Consider the following 25,127-nt stretch of genomic DNA (forward strand, 5'->3'; position numbering starts at 1 on the left):
ATGATATTCCTTCTTTCATTCTTCATATGGTACTTTGAGTTTTTTCTTTTTTATTGGTCAATCTAGCTAAAACTTTTACTTATTGATCTTTTCAAAGAACCAGCTTTTGGTTTCATTAATTTTCTCTATTGTTGGTTTGTTTCTAGCCTTTCATTATGGATTTGTATAGGCTGGGGAGTGAGTTATGTTGAGTAGGTCTGAGATGGGGGTCTGTAGGGTGGGCCAGGGAGTGAGATCTATGAAGAGCAGGGATTCTCACCAGTGTCAAACCCTGTGACACAGGTAAGTTTCACTGCTTTTCCCTGTGCTATTCCCAAAGCAAAACCCTTCTATGGATTTTTATAGTTAGACCACTATAGAAGACAAAAAACAGGCTTCCTCCTATACCATTCCCCTCCCCATTTCCCACAATATCATAAAAGGAAAAGACAAGTGGTCAGACATATGATAATTGTATGGCTTTTGGCACAACAGATACAAGTCTACAGTTCAAAGGTACGTCTGATCTAGAAAATCTTTGGCTATCCTAGGCATTTCATTACAGAAGGATGGGAGTGAGCTGGCACAAGGAGGAAAAACGTAGCTAGTTGGATATATTAAATAAAGGGTCAGTGCTCAGGCTGCATAAATGTTGATGAGATAGAAAAGACATGTCTCAAGAGAATGTTGTTCCTTATCGTGTTGCCATAGGATCCTATCTTGGAGCAACAGTAAAGTAAGGGCCAAAAGAAAGAAAAGTGTAGAGGGGCTGGAAGTAGGCGAAGGCTCATCTCAGGACATAGGGCAAGGGCAGAAGTTTCTGTGGTTGCTAGGATGGGACAGCTGGTCCCAGAAAGTCACTTATATATGAATGACAGAAGGGCACATGCACACACACAGACACACACCCCAGTATAAAATAAAAGCTCATGGCCCATATGGTCTTGATATACTTACAAAGCCTCGTGTATACTGATTCAGGCTATCGATTGCTGCAATCTTTGATAATTCTTCTTTTACATATGTAGGAGGGGATATATCTGGAAAGCCTTGGCCAAGATTCACAACAGAAGGGTCTGCAGCCAATTTGGTAAATTCAATCCTAAGATTGAAAAAAATACTAATATTAATAAGTTCTACAATTATAAAGTTCGCTTTTTTATATCTTATAGTCTTACCACAAAACAGACAAATAAGACCCTAGTTTAGTCCTATAGGTTTTAAAAAATGAGTTTCCAACAAAAATTTACCAACCACAAATCAGTTTACCAAATAGAATGATGGCTGAATTTATGAACCCAATGTCCCTTACAAACCTCAGTTTCACGCTACCCATATTTTAACCACATATATATATTTTCTCAACAATTCCAGCTGCTGCTAAGTTCTTTCATCAACTATTAGAGAACAGAACTAATAAGAAAAGTTCCTGGATTGGAGGTTAAGTTCCATGAGGGCATTAACATTTGTCCTTTTCTCTGCCATATGTCCAGTGTCCAGCAAAGGGCATGGCACATGTGCCAAATGAACAATTCAGTATATGGATTGCTAACTTCCTTCCATTTTCATTTAATGGATGAATTAAATGAGGACCTTTATTTATAGACCATGGATGAGGCAAAAAAAACTCCCATCTAAAGATACGAAAATATGTAGGAAACCCTCACTAAATTATTATTTATTTTAAGATACTCACCACACATTACTATCAAGTCCTTCAATCCGTTTTGCATTTGTGAATTTCAGTGACATTTTCTGAAATATATAAATATTGAAAAGGAATTGCCTTAGTCAAAATTTTAAAAGCCAGTAAATCATGGGTCACTCTTCTTCCTTTTCCCTACTGTTACCATGTAAATAGTAGTTCCATAAAGATAAATCTTAGACTCCAACACAAAATTCTGAAGAGGAATTCATCTCCCACCTACTACTGAAGGAATGCCTTTTTTTTTTTTCTCAGACGTGGTTGCCCAGGCTGGAATGCAGTGGTGTGATCATGGCTCACTGCAGCTTCAACTATCCAGGCTCAAGTGATCCTCCTGCCTCAGTCTCCTGAGCAGGTGGGACTATAGGCATATCCTACTGTGCCAAACTATTTTTTTTGTTGTTGTTTGTTTGTATATTTTATAGAGACAGGGTCTTGTGGTGTTGCCCAGGTTGGTCTCAAACTCCTGGCCTCAAGGGATCCTCCTACCTTGGCCTCTCAAAGTTTGGGATTACAGGTGTGAGCTACCATGCTTGGCTGGAAGGAATGCTTTTTCAAATGAAATTTAGATGTTCATCTTCTCACCTAAGGACAAAAAGTATCATCCTACCCTAGAAAGCTAATCTGTTTTAAGGCTTGTAATGTAGTAAAGAGAACAATAATAATATTTAAAAAGTTAGTTTCAAAAAATATCTTAAGCCATGCTCTGAACATCATTTTAGGTAAGATGTACTAAGAGTTTCACAAGTAAGTTCCTTGTATGACATACAGGAAAGACTCAACAAATGGTTTTAAAGCTACTCAGTAAGGGGTTCCATAATTATTGCTAACATTATTGAGTACTGAGTATGTCCTAGGTACTGTTCTAAGTGCTTTACATAATGAACTCATTATTACTGTATGTTTACAAAAATATGTAGTAGTTCTATTACATAGTTAGAACTATGAGGTACAGAGGTACGGAGAGGTTAAGATCACACAACTTTTCACATCTGCTCAAGTTTATGAAAGCTAGTAACATTTAAACCCAAACAGGTTCAACTCAGGATCTGAACCCAGACAGTCTGACTCCAGAATCCATACTCAGAACTATTATATAATTTTATACTGTGTTTTATATAATAAGACCTTCTAAAAATATTACTAGAATGCTGCCTCTTAAAAGTATATTATAAATTTAGGATAAGCCTACTAATACCAAGCAAGCTAAGGCTGTAGTAGAAAAATAGGAATTAAAATTATCACATAGCATACAATTTTTTAGTTCTTTAGATTCTAAAATTGAGTTTTATACTATCTCCCAAAAGTATTGAATTAGCTTTGAGTTCATTGTTAACAAGCTGGTAGAAATAAAAAAATGATTGACAGCATTTTTGCAGAGAATTTTCTAATGGAATATTAATGTAATTTTAATTCAATCTGGGAAGATAACGATAATGGTTATTAAATAGACCATTGTTCTCATTCTATTCTAAATAATGGGACCAAGAAAAATACCTTTTTTAGTGTCATATTTTGTCTTTGAAACTCCAGTGAAGTAAATCACATGAAAATTCTCCAGAGGTTAAAAAGCTTGCTGGAATAGCATTATAATTACCCACCTGAACATGATGCCATTCTAGAGACAACAGTTGTACAACTACCAAGTTCTAGCATGATAGGTTGAAATATCTATCTTAACAAATGCTCTTGTCTATCTCTAACACAATGTTTAAAGCTTAATTCATTCAGTAGAGACCACAAACACAAAGGATGATTTATACATAAAAAAGTGAGTTTGATGTGCTGTAGATAATTTAGACACAAAATCCAACTTTAAATTATTTAGATAATTGAGGTTGAAATGCACTTTCAGGTTTAATTTTCTTTAAAATTTGTTTCTAGACTGGCCTCTTCTCTCATTGTTCTTCCTGCTTCCTCTTCCCTCCCAATTCTATGCCACACCCATTCTAATTTTTCAAATAGTCTATGTTCTCTCTCATTTCAGTAGTTTCATGTGTGATCTTTCCTATGCCCAAATGCTCTTTCTATACCAATGTTTCTCAATGTTTTTTTTTATTATTGCCCACCTAAGGAGACCTTCTTAGAAATTCTTTCCTAGTCATCTTCCCTCCCCTCAATTAAATATTAAGAGGAATACAATTTTGTCACATAGGATTGAGCTTTGGATGGTGACAAAACAGTGTGATAGCTAAGATTTATCTTGTCTGCCAAGCACCCATTTTCTTCTCCTGGGGGAGATCATGCCCTTGTTGAGAGTGCATGTTCTCTACTCAGTCCAATTCCTGGTCCCCACCACCCTTCCTTGCACTTGGCTAACTCCTATTCCACTTGCCAAGTGCAGTTCTCAAATTCGACTTCATTCCCTCCCAAAAGCCTTCTTTGGTTCTACGAGTCAGGGTCAGGTGCTTCTCCTATGTGCTTCTATTAAATGCAGTACAGCAAGTCATCACTTAAAAGTGTCATATAGGTTCTTGGAAACTGCAGCTTTAAGCAAAATGATATACAGCATGACCAATTTTACCATAGGCTAATTGAGATAAATAAGAGTTCAGTTTCTACAGCATATTTCTGGTCACAAAATCACTACTATACTTCTAAATAAAGAATGAAACACTTCTAATATGAAACATTGAAATAAATGTGAGCTATACATACATTTATTTTAAGGAACTGGCTTATGTGTTTGTGAGGGCTGGCAAATCTGAAATCTGCAGAGCAGGTTGGAGACTCAGGGAAGAACGGATGCTGCAACTGGAGTCAGAAGAACTCCCTCTTCCTTGAGGACCTCAGTCTTTTCCTCTTAAGGTTTTCCACTGAATGAGGCCCACCCATATTATGGATGGTAATTGGCTTTACTGAAAGCCTACTGATTTAAACGTTAATCTCATCTAAAATACACCTTCACAGCAATACCTAGACTGATGTTTGGCAAATATCTGGGTACCAGGGCATAGCCAAGGTGACACCATCACAGTGTCCAACATATAGTTATGCCTAGCACATAGTTTCAAATAATTATCTGATGAATGAATTTTTTTAAAAAAACCTCACTCACATTACAGGGTGAACTTATGGTGTCAGTTAGCTCTATCAGTCAGCTAAAGTTCGTTTATGCTTCAGTGATAAATGACCCCAAAGTCTTGGTGGCCTAAAATCATAAAGGTTTTCTTGTTCATACTACATATCCACTGAGGTTCAGCTGCTGCCCTGGTCTGTGTCACTGTCATTCTGAGACATAGGCTGATGAAACAGCCTTCACCTGGAACACTGCCTGTTTCATGGCAGAGGGAAGAGGCTCTTAAAAGGTTCTGTTAGGATGTGCACACATCACTTCTTTTCATATTTTATTGGGCAGAGCAATTTCACAGCTAAGCTTCACATCAGTGGGGCAAGGAAATGTAACTGTCCAGCAGGGAACAGCAGCAAATAATTGTGAAAAACATGGTGGAAATGAAGTCTGGAGGTATAATGAGATACGTGGTTGCTATGGGTTGGACCATGCCCCCCTTAGTTTCATATGTTGAAGTCCTAACTCCCAGTTCCTCCGGATGTAATCTTATGTGGATATAGGGTTACTGCAGATGTAATTAGTTAAGATGAGGTCATTAGCGTGAACCCTAATCCAATATGACTGGTGGTCTTATAAAAAGGTGAGATCTGGACATATACATAGACCCTGTGTGAAGATGAAGGCACAGACTAAGGTGATGCTCCTACCAGCCAAGGAATGCAGAGATTTCCAGGCAATCACCAGATGATAGTGGGGGTGGGGTATAGAACAATCTTATTCACAGCTCTCAGAAGGAACTGGCCATGCTGATACTTATCTCAGACTTTTAGCCTCCCAAACAATGAGGGAATAAACTGCTGTTATTTAGTAAGCCACCTAGTTTGTAGTACTTTGTTAAGGCAACCTGAGGGAACTAACACACTGGTGAAAGTTTACAAGACACTATACAATGTTCGGAGTCACCAAGATTCTGCAGTAGATGCAAATGCTCACTGTCTAAGTAAGAACTACTTCCCAGAGCAGATCCAGTATCAGGTAATTAAAATCAACCTAGAATCCTACGGGGAATCAGGGCATGAGTCCCAGGCAAGTAAGGGAATGTCTATAAGGCTTGTATAACTTCTGGATCAGCTAACCCTGTGATATGACTTTGGCTACCAGGGTGATTAAAGGCCTATACTTCCATGTTATTAACGCAAAACTGCTAGTGAAATCAAAGGTAGCATCTTTTAACCTTACTTATGCTCACTTGAGGCTAATTTCTAGAACAATGAAGTTCTAGAAATTCACCACCAGGTGGCAAGCTTGACAAAGATAAGGAAAAGATTAAGTCTTTAAAAAAGTTTGGACAGATCGAAAAAAACTAATACTGTATGTTGAACCCATGATCTTAAGACCCTAGTCCATCAAAGTTTCAATTGTATATATTTTTAGGACTCTTCCCATAAGATCTGAGGCAGGTGAGATGGGACAGGTACAGAAAAAGTCTTCCTAAATGATGGGCTGAAGCTGGGAGAATTGAGGCTGTGGATATCTGTGTAGTATGGGCTGTGAATCAAGTCTTCATCCAGAGAAGTCAAGGTCACAGCCAAAAAGTTTAATATTAGTAACAATAATAATAACTGCAAGAAAAGGCCAGAAATAGGAAATGCAAAGCTCATGGATGGAGAGGTGAAAACAGAACCAGGCTTGGGAAACAGATGGATACCACACTTCGGGACCAGGAAAGAGCAGAAGTGGGCACCCTTTTCATGGGGGGCCTGGATGCTGGAGGGCCCAAATGTTACTGTCTTTTAGATCTATGAAGTGGGGATTTGTAGTTGCAATCATGTGTCATTTAAAAATATTTTTAATTGTCTCTTAACAAAGTACTGTATCTTAAGTATTTTATGAATTTTCTGAGTCATAAAAATTTCACTTTTAATTACAACGTATGTTTTTGGTTGTTTTTGTGCCATATTTTACTCATTCATTCCCCTGTTGCTGGGCATGTTATTTCAGTGTCTTGTTGTCTTGCAATGCATTTTGGTGTCTCTCTCTTTTTTTTTTTTTTTTTTTTTTTTGAGACAGAGTCTTGCTGTTGGCCAGGCCGTAGTGCAGTGGCATGATCTCGGCTCACTGCAACCTCTGCCTCTTGGGTTCAAGCGATTCCCCTGCCTCAGCCTGGGACTGAGAGATGAAGCCAGGTGGACTTCCTGGGTCGAGTGGGGACTTGGAGAACTTTTCTGTCTAGCTAGAGGATTATAAATGCACCAATCAGCGCTCTGTGTCTAGCTAAAGGATTGTAAATGCACCAATCAGCATTCAGTAAAAATGCACCAATCAGCGCTCTGGGTCTTGCTAAAGGATTGTAAACGCACCAAATCAGCACTCTGTGTCTAGCTAAAGGATTGTAAACACACCAATTAGCACTCTGTAAAATGGACCAATCAGCACTCTGTAAAATGGACCAATCGGTGCTCTGTAAAATGGACCAATCAGCAGGATGTGGGCAGGGCCAAATAAGGGAATAAAGGCCGGCCACGTGAGCCAGCAGGGGCAACCTGTCCGGGTCCCCTTCCGTGGTGTGGAAGCTTTGTTCTTTTCACACTTCATAATAAATCTTGCTGCTGCTCACTCTTTGGGTCCGCACCACCTTTAAGAGCTGTAACATTAACCCGAGGGTCTGTGGCTTCATTCTTGAAGTCAGCGAGACCACGAACCCACTGGAAGGAAGAAACTCTGGACACATCTGAAGGAACAAACTCCAGACACACCATCTTTAAGAGCTGTAACACTCACCACAAGGGTCTGTGGCTTCATTCTTGAAGCGAGCGAGACCAAGAACCCACAGGAAGGAATAAATTCCGGACACAGGACTACCGGCACGTGCCACCATGCCTGGCTAATTTTTTGTATTTTTAGGAGAGACTGGGTTTCACCACGTTAGCCAGGATGGTCTTGATCTCCTGACCTCGTGATCTGCCCACCTTGGCCTCCCAAAGTGCTGGGATTACAGGCATGAGCCACAGCGCCCAGCCCCACATTTCAGTGTTTCTACTGTGCATTTTAATTATATGGTCTCTGCTCTTTTCCCCTGCATTTTAAAGTTTCACGTGGAAGGTGAGTGCTGTATTGTAACAAAACTAATTATCACAAGAAGGATAATATCCTCAATATTATAGTCATCTGGTTCTATCAAACTAAACACATTTAACTTTTGATTTACTTTTATTGAAGCTTTACATTATATATACAACACAGAGTCATGTGCTGCATAAACACGTTTTGGTCAATGACAGATTGCATATATGACGGTAGTCCCATAAGACTATATGGAGCAGGCCGAGCATGGTGGCTCATGCCTGTAGTCTCAGCACTTTGGGAGGCTGGGGTGGGTGGACCACCTGAGGTCAGGAGTTCAAGACCATCCTGGCCAACATGGTAAAACCCCGTCTCTACTAAAAATACAAAAATGAGCTAAGCGTGGTGGCAAGTGCCTGTAGTCCCAGCTACTCAGGAAGCAGTGGCAGGAGAATCGTCTGACCCAGGAGGTGGAGGTTGCAGTGAGCCGGGATCATGCCACTGCATTCCAGCCTGGGTGACAGAGCGAGACTCCATCTCAAGAAAAAAAAAAGAGTATATGGAGGTAAAAATTTCTACTTGCAGCCAGGTGCAGTGGCTCACGCCTGTAATCCCAGCACTTTGGGAGGCTGAGGCAGGCGGATCACAAGGTCAGGAGTTCGAGACCAGCCTGGCCAATATGGTGAAACCCTGTCTCTAATAAAAATACAAAAATTAGCCGGGTGTGGTGGCATGCGCCTGTAGTCCCAGCTACTCCGGAGGCTGAGGCAGGAGAATTGCTTGCACCCGGGAGGCAGAGGTTGCAGTAAGCCGAGATCACGCCACTGCACCCCAGCCTGGGTAACAGAGGTAGACTCCATCTCAAAAAAAAAAAACAGTTCCTACTTGCCTAGTGGAGCCATTGTAGCTGTTGTAACATTGTGGCATGATGCATTAGTCACGTGTTTGTGGTGATGCTGGTATAAACCTATTGCAGTGCCAGTCATATAAAAGTCTAGAACATACAATTATGTACAGTACATAGTACTTGATATGATAACAAGCAACTATGTTACTGGTTTATGTATTTACTATACCATACCTTTTATTGTTATTTTAGAGTGTACCCTTACTTATTAAAAAAAAGTTGACTATAAAACAGCCTCAGGCATGTCCTTCAGGACATTCTGGAAGAAGACATTGTTATCATAGCAGATGACAGCTCCATGCATGTTATTGTCCCTGAAGACCTTCCAGTGGGACAAGACGTGGAGGTAGAACACAGTGATACTGATGATCCAGTTCATCGGTAGGTCTAGGCTAACGTATGTGTCTTAGTTTTTAACACAAAAAAGTAAAAAAAGAAAATTACTAAAAATAGAAAAAATTTATAGAATGACATAAAATATTTTTAAATATTTTGTATAGTTTGTGTGTTAAGTGTTATAGAAGAGTCAAAGATTAAACATTTAAAAAGTTTATAAGGTAAAAAGTTACAGTAGGTGAATTGTCTTCAATTTATTATTGAAGAAGAAAGGTTCTGTTCTGTTTTGTTTTTTTGAGACGGAGTCTCACTTCGTTGCCCAGGCTAGAGAGCAGTGGCACGATCTCGGCTTACCACAACCTCTGCCTCCCGGGTTCAAGCGATTCTCCTGCCTCAGCTTCCTGAGTAGCTGGGACTACAGGCACGTGCCACCATGCCCAGCTAAATTTTGTATTTAAAAAAAAATTGATTTTTATTTTTTTGAGACGACGTTTCGCTCTTGTTGCCCAGGTTGGAATGCAACGGCGCAATCTTGGCTCATTGCAACCTCCACCTCCCGGGTTCAAGTGATTCTCCTGTCTCAGCTTCCCGAGTAGCTGGGATTACAGGCACCTGCCACTATGCCCAGCTAATTTTTGTATTTTTAATAGAGATGGGGTTTCACCATGTTGGCCAGGCTGGTCTCGAACTCCTGACCTCAGGCGATCTGCCCTACTCGGCCTCCCAAAGTGCTGGGATTATAGGCGTGAGCCACTGTGCCCTTCCTTTATTTTTGTACTTTTAGTAGAGACGAGGTTTCACCATGTTGGCCAGGCTGGTTTTGAACTCCTGACCTCAGGTGATCCACCTGCCTCAGCCTCCCAAAGTGCTGGCATTATAGGCGTGAGCCACTGCACTTGGCAGAAAAAAGTTTTAATAAATTTAGTATAGCATAAGTATACAATGTTCATAAAGTCTATAGTAGTGTACAGTAATGTCCTAGGCCTTCACATTCACTCTACTCACTCACTGACCCACCCAGAGCAATCCTGCAAGCTCTATTCATGGAAAGTGCTCTACACAGGTGTACCATTTTCTTATCTCACTGCATTTTTACTGTACCTTTTCTATGTTTAGATATGCAAATACCATTATGTTACAGTTGCCTGTAGTATTAAGTACAGTAACATGCTGTATAGATTTGTAGCCTAGGAGCAATAGTCTATGCCATATAGCCTAGGTGTGTAGCAGGCTATATACCATCTAGGTTTGTGTAAGTGCACTCTATGATCACAGAATGTATCCCAGTTTTTAAGTGAAGCATAACTCTATTGTATATAGATATGTATGTATATAATATATACACATATGTATATATGTATATAATATACACATGTATGTATATGTTATGTATATTTTGATGTTCCAACCATCACAGTGATGACATTTAGTATTAATTCATTCCTTAGCACTTGTACCACTTCCTAAGTGTCTTTGTTTAAACACAGATCTTAAAAAGAAACTGTTATGTTCTTTCCTAGCTTTTTTGCTTTTTCTTTCCTGCTATAAAATTGTGTTGGCTGCTCATGCTTCTTTGAGATTTTATTTCTTCTCCGGGTGGAGTTGTGGTGTCTTTTTTTTTTGAGACAGGGTCTCGCTCTGTCACCCAGGCTGTGGCAGTGCCACCATCATGGCTCACTGCAGCCTCAACCTCCTGGCTAAGGTGATCTCCACCTCAGCCTCCCAAGTAGCTGGGATGACATATGTGTGCCAGTATGCCTGGTTAACTTTAATTTTTTTGAGACAGAGTCTTGCTCTGTTGCTCAGGCTGGAGTGCAGTGGTGCAATCATGGCTCACTGCAACCTCACCTGCCCAAGTTGAAGTCATCCTCCCACCCCAGCCTCCTGAGTAGCTGGGACTACAGGTATGTGGCACCACACCTGGCTAATTTTGTTCTTAATTTTTTTTTTTTTTGGTAGAGATAGAATATTGCTATGTTGCCCAGGCTGGTCTCAAACTCCTGGGTTCAAGTGATCCTCCTGTCTTGGCCTCTCAAAGTGCTGGGATTATTGGTGTGAGCCTCCATGCCCGGCCTTAATTTTTTTTTTTTTCAAACATTCATTTGTAGAGAGGGTCTTGCTTTGCCCATGCTGGACTCGAACTCCTGGCTTCACACAATCCTCTTGCCTTGGCCTCTCAAAGTGCTGGGATTGCAGGCATGAGCCACCACACCTGGTGGAGTTGTGATTTTTGCTAAAGGGCAGAGTACATGCTTCAGATTGAACAGTGGGGAAGAGACAAGTGCATAAGATGCCTTAGAAGCTCCGAAGCTATAGTAATCAGATCTCTTAGTTATGTGAGAGAAACTCAATCTGAAACAGTTTAGATGAAAAGGGAGAATTCATTAGAAAGGTCATGTTACCATGGGAAAGGCAGAGGTCCAGCCAGACTGAATGGTAACAGAAACCAGGAACTTGAACATCACAGGGCTTTGCTTCATCTCCATTTGTACCCATTATCTCAGTTTGCATTTCTTTACTTGAGACTAAACAGAGTCACATCTCCCACCTTCATGGCCATAGAGGGACTGAGAGATGAACACTCAAAAAATGTTAATTATTATTAAGGCTTGACTTAAAAAAACTATAAGATCTATATATCATTCAGTGGGCTCAAGTATCTCTTAAAAAGTTGCCAGATTCTGAGCCATATAATGAAAGAAAAGTATTTACGAACATGTGTCTTACAAAGGACTTTAATACAGTATATATAAAGAACTTTTACAACTCAATAAGACAAACAATCCAATTAAAAGTGGGCAAAAGATTTGACAGCCACTTCACAGAAAATATACAACTGGCCAAAAAGTACCTTAAAAGATGCTTACCAGCATTAGTCACCCGGGGAAATGAAAATAAAACCACAATGAGATACCACTAGATTCCCATCAGAATGGCTGAAAACTGAGTGTTGGCAGTTGGAACTCTATACAACCCTGGTGGGAATATAAAAGGGTATAGCCCCTTTGGAAAACAAACAGTTTGGCAGTTACTTTATTAAACATAAATCTGCCATGCAACCCAACCATTTTACTGGTAGGTATTTACCCAAGAGAAAGGAAAACCTATGTCTACACAGTGGCTTGTACACAAATGTTCCTAACAGTTTTATTCACAGTAGCCCCAAACTGGAAACAATCCCAAGGTCCATCAACAGGTGAGTAGAAAAACAAATAATGGCATATTCACATAATGGGACACTACTCAGCAATAAAAGGAATAAGCTACTGATACACTGCAACCTGGTGAATTTCAAAGTCATTGTGTGTGAAAGAAACCATAAACAAAAAAGTACATGCTACACAATCCCATTTATATAAAATACTAAACACCACCACAAAGCAAACTAATATATGGTGACAAAGACAAATCAGCAGCGTGAGGGATGGACTGCAAAGGAACTTGAGGAATCTTTTGGGGGCGATGGAAGTGTTCTGCATGTTGATGGTGACAGTGGCTTCATGGCATATACATCTGTCAAAATAACCATTGAGTTGTAATTCTAAACAGATACAGTTTACTGTAACTTGATAAAGCTGAATTTAAAAAGCTGCCAGAGTATTCTGAAATCATGCCTTCTTTTCTCCCTCTGGACCAAGCACCCGCCCAAGCAAGCCAACTTTAACAAAATTATCTCATAGATTTTGGATTTTTTTTTTTTTTGCCATGTTAAAGTTGTATTAAGTTTCAATACAAAACATTCCAAAAAGTGAAAAGTGATCTATAATACCCAAGTTCTATGTTCAACTACCACTTAAACAAGGAAAACATTTTCTAATATCATTCTGTTTTACAACCAGTATAAACCCAGAAGAATCAAGATCTGATTCTTTTTCCACACGTCTGCTAGTTCAGTAAACTATTTATCAAACAGGTGTCTGGTCATTTTAACATACTCCTTGCTTTGAACAATATTCATTCATATTTGGTACAAACTCTATATCCTATATTTAGGATATCTAAATATTTTAAATATTTAGGATATCTTAAGAGCCAAAAGGTCCTCACAGAAGCTTTAACCCAAGTAATCATAAGAATATGGAAGGATTCGGCTAAGACAACTATGGAAGTGTAACAACCACATAAATTTGGTCATTACCCTTGTGGTCTGTGATTAGTAGTAGTCTGCCAAATGAGAGTTAAAAATGTTGTACTTACTATCCCTAGTTGCAAATGTTAAAACATGACAGTGCCATAATTACAACAAAAAAAATTAGAAGTTGAGTTAGTTCCTCTAATCCAACAACTCAAGTCTGTTTCCTTTGAGAACATTACACTATTGGCTCTAGTCTCCAAAGCAATAAACTAAAACTTGTTTCCAAGACGGGGAGGTAAAGCAGGCTTATAAAACAATACAGCAAAAGAAAGCCAAGTGGCCCAATTGTTTCCAGTGTGTTTGCCATCTTAGCATGGTTGTTACTTTCCAGATGTCACTCATAAGTTTTATTCTACAACTAAACTGTTTGTGGATAAGCCACCACAAAAAAATGTTTCACTTACTGACAAGACACTTCACCAGATAGAGCTACCACTTATATCCATCATTTTTATAATTCATCTTAAGTTCTAAATTGAAGAGTTGTCCCCATGACTTTAGCTAAACAAAATGAAACCCAAAGCTGTAAAATCTGTGTAAAGGACCACGAGAACCTCCTGACTACCTCCACTTACCAATTTCCTTAATTACTTCCCCTTTTCCATTTGGTCAATTACTTAAGTAACTACCACTCACTCCCTAGTTATGAGTGTTAATCAACACTGATGCCTTCCTGAGATCCACAGGAACCCTTGAAGGCAAAATCTATTGCCTGCACCAAACCAATTCTGACAGCACTGCTTATGCAACTGCACTGACTTACCAACAATCAGCCGCCTTCTGCTTCAACAACTCTTAGCATTTGATTTCTCTTACTGCCAGCGTTATCTACTGTGAATCAATCAGCACTCCACAAACATAATGAGCACAATCTTCAACCATCTTTGCTGTTTCACAGGCATTTGATGCTTTAAATCTGATGTGGAATGCTGATAGATTCACTTTTTAGAAGTCATAAGCCTTTAGGAAGTTGGAGATAAATTCATTGCTTATCTATTTTCTCCTTTGCAATCAAGCTGTTCCTTTAAAAGTGAGACATTAGAGTTGCAAAAATTTGAAAGAGTAAGAGCAAGCACCTTTGCAGCTTCATGGTTGGTTTTGGCCAAACTTTTTATTTAGTATTCCGTAGTTGTTTAGCACACACTTAAATGGTCTTATTGTGGGAGGGGAAAGGGGAGGTTCTTGCAGATTCCCAAGGAAATGTCAGAAAGGCAAAATGGCCAGCATTATCCATTTGCTTTTTTTGGGTTTACTGGGTGAATAGCACTTTCCTTACATAGGCATCTGATTTCAGGTTTTGCATACTGAGAACAGTGAGATTTCAGTTAGAAAACACCCTGAAATCTTATGAGTAGCATACTCCAACCACCCTCTAATAGCTAGCTTGTTTGTATAGGCAGAATGATTCATCTCTCCATTTTAGTTGGCTAGATGTTTTGTGGAAGATCTTAGAATTGCTTGCCTCATTTACTGGGAAAAACCAGATAGGAAGTGGTCTTTAGGGACACCTTTACTTGGAAAGTTACAACACTAGTACTACAAGGCTTAACACATTTAACATTTGCTTGTTGAAAAGCAATGTCATAAAGTCAAATAAAATTAAACATGTTTTACTTTTTTCCTCACAAGAACATAAAAATTACGGAAGGGACTTAACAGGGAATTTAAAAAAGGTAACACAATTTTTCCTTTTAGTAGTCCTTGGGTAGTTATGATAGAATAGTTTCCACTCTTTTTTTTGTTTCTTTGAACTGGGATTTTGGTCCAAAGTTTTGTTTGTTTCTAGTATCTGCTTCTGCCTCCCCCTCTATCAGATCGGCTTCCTCCAGGGCCAGCACCTCTTGGTGCTCCGCGGCTTGAACTGCTGTAGGAATCACGTGAAGAAGGGTACCCCCTTTCTACAGAAGGGGGAAGCCCTCTTTCTTGTCTGCCAACCCTGTCACAACTTGAGTAGAGATCACTTCGGCTGCTTGAGTAACTGTCTCGACTTCCACCATATCCATCACGTGAGCTGCTATAATCATCATAGCGACTGCTTCCACCATAAGATGGCGGGGGCCCTCGTGTAAGTGGAGCACTACGTGAGTTACCATAACTCTCATATGAATCTCTGTAGGAACCTCCACTTGGATGATCTGAATAGTCACGATCACGACCATATCCATCTCTATCGCCATAGCCTCTTGATGGATAGTCATCACGTGAACTGGAATGACCATAATCACGGTAAGTATAATCTCGTGGTGGTGGTGCATAATCTCTTGTATCACGAGAACTTGGGTAATCTCTGCTTGAATAGCTGTCTTTAGTAGAATACCCATCATCTCTTGGGGACAAATAAACATCTCTACGAGAGGGGAGCGGTTCCCTTCGAGGTGGACCTCCATAACTATCTCTTCCACGTGATAGAGGAGCTCTTCCTCCCATTCCACTGCTGCTGCGAACTAGTCCTGAAGGTGCAGATCTCTTAGGAGAAGGACCCCCACTTCTTGGTGGTGGTCCTCTTTTTACTGGGAGTGGTCCCCTGGAAGAACTCATGTTAAAATTCATGGAATATCCACCATCATCCATGTGTCCTCCTCGTGAAGGAGGTCCCCTGGTTCCTCCACTTCCTCCTCTTCCAGCTCCAAAACCTCTTGGAGGACCTCTACTTCTTGGAGGTGGGGGCGGTCCATGTCTACCTCTTTCAAATGATGGTTTGGTGGCTTGTTCCACCTTGATGGCTTTTCCATCTAATGACTTTCCATTCATGTCTCTGGCTGCATCCTTAGCGTCTGCTGGGCTTTCAAAGGTGACAAAAGCAAATCCTCTTGATTTGTTGGTTTCACGGTCTTTTATCAAGAGTACTTCCACTATTCGTCCATATTTGCCAAATACTGTTTCAAGAGCTTTCTCATTTGTTTCCGTATTAAGCCCACCAATGAAGAGCTTTCCTGGGCGATCTGCTTCAACCATTTTTTTTTTTGCCGGTGAGTCGGAGGGGTGACAGTGGGTTCAAGCTCCAACAAGCTCGCCGACAGGGGCTTCCTAGCAGCTCAGCACCAGTGGCGGCTGTCAGTTAGGAGGACTGAACCGCGAAGCCGCTAGCACTACTGCGCAATCTGGATGCTTTTTAAGGTATGGCTATCCATTCAAAAAACCAGGAAAATTACTTTCTTTTGCCACTAGATGGCAGAGGAAAACAACAGAATGTTCCTGTAATGGTGGAAGAAATGAAAGTAAAACTCAGAAGTGGAAATGTAAAGCAGGGAAAGATGCTTAAAGATACATAAAAAATGCAATTATATTAAGCTCAAAAGTGTGTATAATTAACAGGAGCCCTTTTTTTGTTGCTTTTTTTTTTTTTTTTTTTTTTTTTTGTAGACAGGAGTCTCACAGTGTTGCCCAGGCTGGAGTGCAGCGGCGCAATCTTGGCTCACTGCAACCTCTGCCTCCCAGGCTCAAGCCATTCTTGTGCCTCAGCCACCTGAGTAGCTTGGATTACCGGCATGCGCCACCACACCTGGCTAATTTTTGTATTTTAGTAGAGCAGGGTTTCACCATGTTGGCCATGCTGGTATGGAACTCCTAGCCCAAGTGATCCGCCTGCCTCGGCCTCCCAGTGTTGGGATTATAAGGGTGAGCTACCACGGCTGGCCTTAACTGGAACTTTGAAACAACATATAGTTTGTTACTTTATTTTATAAAGAATTATTTGTGCCTGATACGCTGTAGCTATTTAACATCTGTTGACTGAACAGATCTGCTGAGTGAAAGGGAAGCAATTTGGACTCCCTCTGAGAGATAATGTATTTGGGGAAAAAATTGTACTTCAATAGAAAACTATGCACTGGCCACAGCACAGCTTTAGGGCTGATATTTGCAGGGCTAGAATTTGCCTTTGAGTTATTCTGGGCTTTTGTAAATTGAAGCTAAGTGACAGGCATGCAAATTCTGGTTCTAGCATTTTGATTATCTTCCCTCCACCCTGTAGAAAAAACAGTTTTGCCTTCATTTGCAATCCAATTCCTTTACTACATATGAATTTGTGCTTTTTGACTTTCCATATGTACTGGTTATAACTTCTGTCTGGTTACTTCATATCACATGAGTGAAATAAAAATCTTTAGCACATGTTCATTTTTATATTTGTATGAGTCATGATTTAACCTTTTTCTGAAAATTATATTTTAACAATTACTTCAGAGAAACAAGCTTATTGGAAACAAGGCTTTCTCTAAATCTGAAAGCTGATAACAGCTAAATACATGGCTGGAATGCCAGAAATGGAGTCAGGCCAAGTGGAGAACAAAAAGCCTGGTTTATTCTCTCAAAAAAAATTGGGTTCAAGCCAAGACCTTGGAAGAGTGAGTAAGTGAAGGGAGTGCGTGAGTATTGTCCTCACCCATATCAATAGGCCTGGGGCCCTTCTGCCTGCCTACACTGTGTAATCTCAGCTCCCCCAATCACAGCTATAAATCAGAGTTGGACAGTCAGGCTGAACCAATCAAGACAACTAGAAGTTTGGGTTTGAGGCTGAGAAACAGGCTGTTTCTTCTGGGCACATGAAACAGAAGATTGGTAAGTTTGAATCTGGGCAAGTCTGTGTTCAATCCCTCACACACATGCCATGTTCTGTGCCAAAAACACACCTACGTTCCAAGTATATTGTTCAAGGTTGTTTAATGCAAAGAGCTTTCAAGCCAGATAGATCTTAGTTCAAAATTAAACATCAAAACTCCTAGTGTGTGAAGTAGGCAGGTTACCTGACATCTCTGAAATTCAGTTTCCTTATTTGCTAAGCAGGAAAATGAATACCTGCCCCATGTAAGTGCTATGGCAATTAAATGAGGCAAAGCCATAAGCAGAAAAATATAGTTCATGGCATACAATATATATACTCCAAAACTAGTGCCCACTCAGAAAGTAGGAAAGATTCTCTTAGATACAAGTAAGGATGAGTAACTTTGCACTAAAGGAGGCAAAGAGATATTGGGTATGGACTAAATGTACAAAAGGTGATACTTTCACATCAAAAGAGAGGGTTGGGCTGGACGCAGTGACTCATGCCTGTAATCTCAGCACTTTGGGAGGCTGAGGAGGGTGGATCACTTGAGCCCAGTAGTTTGAGACCAGCCTGGCCAACATGGCAAAACCCCGTCTCTACAAAAAATACAAATATTGGCCGGGAGTGGTGGCGGGCACCTATAGTCCCAGCTACTCAGGAGGCTGAGGCAGGAGAATTGCTTGAACCCGAGAGGCGGAGGCTGCAGTGAGCCGAGATTGCGCCATTGCACTCCAGCCTGGGCGGCAAGAGTGAGAGACTGTATGAAAAAAAAAAAAGAGAGAGAGAGAGAGACAGAGAGAGTTGATTTCCTTAAGGAAGGACAGACCTAAGGAAAAGGTTTTGTCCAGTGTTGCTTTTGCGCTTCTCTGGTGGACATTTAAATTTTAGACTCTCTTAAAAAAAAAAAAATTAATAGACTATTTTAGGGCCAGGCGCGGTGGCTCACGCCTGTAATCCCAGCACTTTGGGAGGCCGAGGCAGGTGGATCACAAGGTCAGGAGATTGAGACCATCCTGGACTACAGGTGTGTGCCCAGCTAATGTTTTGTATGTTTAATAGAGATGAGGTTTTGCCATGTTGCCCAGGCTGGTCTTGAACTCCTGGTCTCAAGCGATCCACTGGCCTCAGCCTCCCAAAGTGCTGGGATTGCAGGTGTTAGCCACTGCGCCCCGCCTACATTTTTCCTTTAGCATTCAAAACATTCTTTAAAATTAGAGAATATGTAAAATGTTTTTGTAAAAAAGCAAGTAATACAGGAAAATACAGCCTATCCTTCATTCTATTCCCTTCCCGGCAGATTTTCATGACATTAAGGATGATGTGGATGAAACGAATATTCTAAGTAAGTTCACAGTAACTTATCTGGCTGGTTCTGACAAGTCTTTCTTGATTTAAACTTATCACTATTGCTTTTGTAACACTGGCCAGTGTTTTTCATTCGTCCAGCAATAGGAAGAATATTTATCTTTATCCCTGTGCGACTATTTTAAATGCAAAGCCTCTGATGAACTGTAGACACTTTTCCAATGTAGTTAAAATGATACAAACACTTTGGCAGTTACTTAATTAAACATAAAGCTACCACACAACCCAACCATTCCACTGCTAGGTATGGAGAGGGGTTAGTGCTATCCCAAATAGTCCACAAGTTTGAATAATGCATTGTCAGTGGTTTTTGCCTGGGACATACATCAGAATCAGCTGGAAAGATTTTTCAAAATACATTCCAGATATGTAGAATTAGAATGCATAATGGTGAGCCCTGGCATACGTAGTCTAATAAAAGTTCCACAAATGAGGATTGTGCACACAAATGCCCTTTTAGTGCCATGGTTTCATATGTTCACCTTGGGGAAGCACAACCACTTCCCTGGCTTCAACCGACTTCTATGTTGGGAGAGGGCCTGAAAAAGGTGGTCACGGTGGCATAAAGAGGAGAGAATTCAAGACAGTTATGAGGTAGAATTCATAAGATTTACATATAGAAGACACTGATGATGGTTTTTATGAAAATTTTAAACCACTGAGAAAATTTTAAACCAGTTGAGAGATTAGAATTAGGTTGAATACAAAATTGTCAATATTCAACCAGTTATGACAAAAATGGTACTTCATATGCCAAAAATGGAATTTTCATACAAAAATAGCAATTTCATATACTTTAACCTAATATAAAACACTCATATGCACACTACCCAGATTCAGTAATTCTCAAGATTTTGCCTCTTTTTTTCTGTAATTGCTGAGTAACTTTAGAATAAATCTTAGACCTTAGGTCATTACATCCCTACATACTTGGCATATTATCTAAAAAATATTGCTACTTATATAACTGCAATTTCATTACCACACCTCACCAACAATAATTTCTTGTTAACATCTAATACCCAGTCCACATTCGTATCTCTCTGATTGTCTTTAAAAAATGTCTTTCTGCATTTTGGTTGACTGAATCAAGTTCCTAAAGCAGATGTACGTATTGTATTTGGTGGTTATGGGTTTTAAACCTTTTTCGATCCCTGAGCAGTCCTCCTGAAATATCCTCTTCTACTTTTTTCCCATGCCACTGGACCTATATTCATAACTTGAAGGGTTTTGTGAAGACAAAATGAGGTAATGAATATATAATGACCAGCACATGGCCTGATCCACAGACAGGCAAGCAGTTGCTCAGTGAATGTCAATTCTAGTCAATGACAAGAGACACCTTCAGCATATGTAATAGAAATGTTCATTTCAATAAAGTATTTGTAAAAAAGCATCTGAAAAATTACATATTTTTTGGACAGTGCAGAATATGTACAATAATTTATCTGTAAGTAAGCAATACCTACAGCAGAAGTAGAGAATCCGAGGATTTTGGAAGAAGAAATTGTCTTCAGGAATTTTGCTCTACCGCTAAGAGAGCAGAGGCTCCTCTGGGCCAAAAACATGCTATTAAATAAAAGAAAAATTGAGAAGAGGAATAAATATATGATGGGTACATCACTATCAGACACTTACAGCTAGCTGATGTATCATAAGCTTACGTAAAATCCAAGTAAACATTTTTGATAAGTGAGTTTGCTTTCTTTCAAGTTTTCTTTCTATGATATAATCTCTCATCACTGGAGGCATTCTAATAAATGTATTCTTCCTACACAAATTTATATTCACATCATTTTAAACTAGAGAGCTTTAAGAATATTCTTAATTAAAAAAATAAGGCTTTAATTTAGTCAAGAGCATTAAATTTCAGAAAGTGAAAGTTCCATTTCTAGCAGCTATAAAATCCAGAGTATTTCAATCTAGGAACTACTCAAATTTCAGAATCCTCTGGATAACAGTCACTAGTAAAAGCATAGTTTGTAACAGTAAATTAAAGTTGTTAGAAACAGTTATTTAAAAAGTTGTTTGAAAAGACGAATGATAGTAGGTCCTTGATAAATATAAAGAATATATGAGTGAATCTTAGGTTATTCTGAAGGTACTTCCTCCAACAATTCCCACAAGCCATTTTAGTGGATTCCAGTGGCATGATAGGCATGCATTCTGAATTGCTTCTCTACCTGTAAGTATAAAATTGATATCCGTCATGGGTAAATGGAGGAAGATCAAGGCAATGAAACTATTACAATACTGCCACTTAGAAGTGGAAAGAAAACCCAGCTTTCTAAAAACATTCAGGCAAATAGATATTTCTCATAAGGTTTTACTCTGAGAATGTTGTTCTCTTAAGTCTACTGTATAAGGCTGCTGTATCAGTGGATGGCATGTCGTCTAACAGTTATCAAACCTTAGAGAAAAAGAGACCTAATCTATGGAAACTAAATAGAGCTTCTATATAAAACGCTAACAAATCAAACCCAGTAGTATACAAGAAGGATAATACATCATGACCAAGGGGGGTTGGGTTTATATAAGAAACCTATTAATGTGATTCACCACATTAAGAGATTAAAGCAGAATTCAATCTTAAAAAAAGTTTCTATCTGTAGTCAAGTTATGGACTCTTGCTGGGCCTCAGTTTCTCCATTTTTCACAATAGGTGAATAAATTAATAAGGTTTGAGTTAAAGCAAGCAAGTAGCGGGAACCCTCTAACGACATAAAGATACAATGGAATTTGCTGATTATGGCGCAGCTGTCCCAAAAGACACAGCTGAAACTTTGGAAAATGGAAGAGAAAGGAAGACCTGGGTCAGTTGCCAGGAATTACATTGCATGATGGAGGTAATGTGCTAATAATAAAAGCAAGTAAGCTTGGAGTGCAGCTTCTGGGAGATTTCACCCCAGACTGGGTGAGCCATACTCTCTAGGTACCAGGCCTCAATGCCCACCTTCCTTCTTAGGGAGCTGCCCCTAAATCTAAGTCTACTTGTTTTCATCTTGAAATCTCAAAGCCTAAATCCCAAACCCCTCTCTCCTATCTGTCTTCTACAGCACATTACCTCCATCATGCAATGTACTTCCTGGCTGTGGACTGCTGGAGAAAGTCCCACGGGATATTGGTTTCACCACAGATTTGTGGTCATCAGTCTTAAATTGACCCCCAACACTGCAGCATTTCTACTATATTTTGTAGGTAACACTTGTCTCCCATAGTCCAAAATGATTCTTTAAATTTTTCCCACACTCCTTTAAACTAAATCCCTCTACCTTCTTCCTCAGTCCAAGCAGATTGCGCTCTCTACTTTCCCAAATCTAAAAAATCCTTGTTTTTTCCTTCCCAGTATAATAAAGGAAATTACCCTCCTTTAAAAGGATCGCCTCTCCTCCACGACTTAGATCTCATTCCCTCTACGGATACCTTGCTTCACTGATTATTACCTCTTTACTCCTGCATATTCAACTTTGTTTGTCTCTCCCGGTTAAAAAACATAAAAAACAAACAAAAAACACAAAAAATAAAACTCTTGACTGTACCATCTCCCTGTTGCTCATTTTACTAGCTCTCTCCTTTTCCTCAATCTACGCTCCTCAACCCAGTGCAGTCTGACTTTTCACCCATTACTCCATAATGGCAACTCTTGCTAAAGTCAGTTTTGACCTTCATATTGTTAAATCCAGTGGACATTTTGCAATTCTCACTTTCCTAGAGCTCTCTGCAGCTTTAGATACTGGCAGGCAAGCCCTTTTTCCCCTGAGAAACACCATGTCCCCTTGGCTTTTGACATCTTACAATCTCTCATTTATCTCCTGCCTCTCCCACAATCCGCCATTGAATGATGGAATTCCAAGACCTAGACCTAGGCTCTCTTTCCATCTCACTTATGACCCTCTCACTAGGTAATCTCATTGTGTAAGGAACTGTGGGAGCATAGGTGAAAAAATGGCTCTGAAGAAATCTAAGCAGGCTGATAAAAAATGCAGACTCAGAACCTTTGAATCAAGCTAGTTTACATCTGCATTTTATTAAGTATTTTGAGCAGCATTTTCTAATGCAATCAACATTGCATATATATATATTCACAAATGAGATAAATACATTAAATTTAGATGTCATCGAAAAGTTGGAGAAAATAAAAAGGTATATGGCTTTTAATTCTAAACAATATTTTCATTGTATTTTTCTAGTTTCTCCCTAAAAACAATTTCTGTGAAGAAAACCTGGCAACTTATGAATCAGGATGATCTACGTGATCTAATTATAGCATATTATGCATAAAGTCCATATTCCAAAACGCATGATCTATAGAAATGAAACTGTCGATTTATTATCAACGGTTTAGACTGTTTAAAATGAAGATTCAGAAAGTATGCTTGGCAGATTTGGGGGTGGCCCGAAGCTGAGAAAGCTGGTGAATTTTGGGGGGCCGAATATAAAGCTAAAAGGCAGACAAGCCCGTCAAAATAAATCCTAAGAAACTTAAAGCTCTAGACTTAAATCCAAATGATCAATTTATACTTCACACATGGGGAGGAGAGGTAGTAAGAGATTTAATTTGACAAAGTCCAGAACATCTGGGTTAACTGCAAGTTCAAGCAAGATTAACATGAGGCAAAAAGGGCTACAGCTAATAATGCGCCGCCCACACTGTTACAAGAGTCCGACCACTGTAAAGATGATTTTCCTTTCACACTCTACCTTGTTAGTTTGCTTCTAGAATGTTTATAAGGTTCACCGATACAACAGAGGGTATCTAGACGGTGAACAAAGTCCTGGACGGGGGAGTACAGTGGAAGGATGCGCTTCAAAGCCACGTCTTTAGAACAAGAGCGGAAAGAATTAGCCAAAGTTGGGCAGCATATGCTTTAAGGAGACACGAGCCTGAAATTGCTGAAAAACTGTTCTATGAAAATGGATTCGTGTAACTATAAACTTCTCCAGAAGGAAAGCAGTGCGGCTGCCTGGCTGATAGCAGGAATTCGGTTTTGGCTCCCGAAGTCAGACTTGCTAAGGGCTGACCTGCAGCCCCAGTCCCCCTCAGGTGGCCGCCAAGGAGCCACGCGTGGGCGAAGCGAAGGAAGGATTTCTGCGCCACTCGACTCCAAAAGCAACAGACTGCCTTTCTGTTTTAACTACAAATGTTGGATTCTGCTAAGCTTCATTTATAAGGCAACGTAACAGCCTTGGTATTCTTTTGGTTTTTTTTTTTTTGAGACGGAGTCTTGCTCTGTCGCCCAGGCTGGAGTGCAGTGGCCCGATCTCGGCTCACTGCAAGCTCCGCCTCCCGGGTTCACGCCATTTTCCTGCCTCAGCCTCCCGAGTAGCTGGGACTACAGGCGCCCGCCACCACGCCCGGCTAATTTTTTGTATTTTTAGTACAGACGGGGTTTCACCGTGTTAGCCAGGATGGTCTCGATCTCCTGACCTCGTGATCCGCCCGCCTCGGCCTCCCAAAGTGCTGCGATTACAGGGGTGAGCCTCTTTCGTATTTTTAAATTAAGAGTCCCAAAGTCATTCTTCTCAGACTGCCTTCTAAAAGCCCAAACAGCGAAATCAAGAGTAAAAGCGCCAAGACGGTGACCCGGGTCTAGGGGATTCCCCCCTGGAGGCCAGTCACCTCGGCGCCTTCCCCTCAAACTGCTAATCTAGGGCCGACTCCCTGCAGCCACCCCCGCAGGCGGCCCCGCAGCGACTCCGGCAAGAGGAGCCCGACCTCCGTTCCCTCGCCCCGTACGCCGGGACGGCCCTAGTCAGTCCGCACGGAAGCGCCGCGCCGCGCCGCGCGCCCGCCCCACTCACCTATCCGGTGCGGGAACCTCGCCTCCCTAGGCTCGAGTCCCGACTGGGCTTGAGGGCCCGGCTGGGCGGGATTCGGACGCGGGGGGCGGAGCCGGGACAGGGATTGACTCTGGGGTTTGCACTCAGTGCGCGCTTTGGCGGAGGGGTAGGCCAGGATCTCTAGGCTGGAAGAGACTGGATGAGGGGTGTTTTTTTGGGAGGGGAGGGGCGGGATTTGGGCAGTTCCGGGCTTGCGGGAACAAGGGGGCGGGGCGGGGGCGAGCCCGGATGTGGCCA

The 25,127-nt window shown here is 40.6% G+C and overlaps 2 protein-coding genes across 11 annotated transcripts in view, besides 3 other annotated features; both read right to left on the reverse strand.

The window, feature by feature from the left end:
• The window catches only part of KYAT3 (kynurenine aminotransferase 3), a 71,917-nt gene that overhangs the window by 46,690 nt on the left and 100 nt on the right, over positions 1-25,127 (reverse strand). For 3 of the 9 annotated variants that reach the window (NR_146185.1, NM_001349447.1, NM_001349449.1), the window contains 3 exons: positions 24,852-25,015; positions 1,676-1,734; positions 937-1,081 (listed from right to left, as the gene is read on the reverse strand). Coding sequence is in view for 4 of the 9 variants with exons in the window: in NM_001349447.1 (NP_001336376.1) it covers positions 937-1,081; positions 1,676-1,731 (201 nt within the window). In the remaining 5 variants the exon portion in view is untranslated. Of the gene's footprint in view, positions 1-936; positions 1,082-1,675; positions 1,735-20,518; positions 20,619-24,851; positions 25,026-25,127 lie in introns of those variants that run through there. The other 6 variants (NR_146183.1, NM_001349450.1, NR_146184.2 and 3 more) reach the window with 4 other exon arrangements.
• RBMXL1 (RBMX like 1) lies at positions 11,723-24,896 on the reverse strand. 2 transcript variants are annotated; one of them, NM_001162536.3, is made up of 3 exons: positions 24,852-24,896; positions 20,519-20,618; positions 11,723-16,333 (listed from the first exon to the last, which is right to left on the reverse strand). In NM_001162536.3, the coding sequence occupies exon 3, from the start codon at positions 16,091-16,093 to the stop codon at positions 14,921-14,923; it is 1,173 nt and encodes a 390-aa protein (NP_001156008.1). In that variant the 5' UTR covers positions 16,094-16,333; positions 20,519-20,618; positions 24,852-24,896; the 3' UTR covers positions 11,723-14,920. The 2 variants fall into 2 exon arrangements, with proteins under 2 accessions (NP_001156008.1, NP_062556.2); NM_019610.6 differs by lacking the exon at positions 20,519-20,618.
• Positions 23,465-24,128: an enhancer, noted in NCBI's record as "H3K27ac hESC enhancer chr1:89456881-89457544 (GRCh37/hg19 assembly coordinates)". NCBI's record gives its function as "activates a minimal SCP1, AML or CMV promoter by ChIP-STARR-seq in primed H9 embryonic stem cells {active_cell/tissue: H9 hESC(primed)}" and the evidence as "EXISTENCE:reporter gene assay evidence [ECO:0000049][PMID:30033119]".
• Positions 24,899-24,968: a silencer, noted in NCBI's record as "silent region_1051". NCBI's record gives its function as "represses an Ori minimal core promoter by ATAC-STARR-seq in GM12878 lymphoblastoid cells {active_cell/tissue: GM12878}" and the evidence as "EXISTENCE:reporter gene assay evidence [ECO:0000049][PMID:35858748]".
• Positions 25,009-25,108: a silencer, noted in NCBI's record as "silent region_1052". NCBI's record gives its function as "represses an Ori minimal core promoter by ATAC-STARR-seq in GM12878 lymphoblastoid cells {active_cell/tissue: GM12878}" and the evidence as "EXISTENCE:reporter gene assay evidence [ECO:0000049][PMID:35858748]".

This window comes from Homo sapiens, chromosome 1 (genome assembly GCF_000001405.40).
Source record: "Homo sapiens chromosome 1, GRCh38.p14 Primary Assembly".
Lineage (NCBI taxonomy): Eukaryota > Metazoa > Chordata > Mammalia > Primates > Hominidae > Homo > Homo sapiens.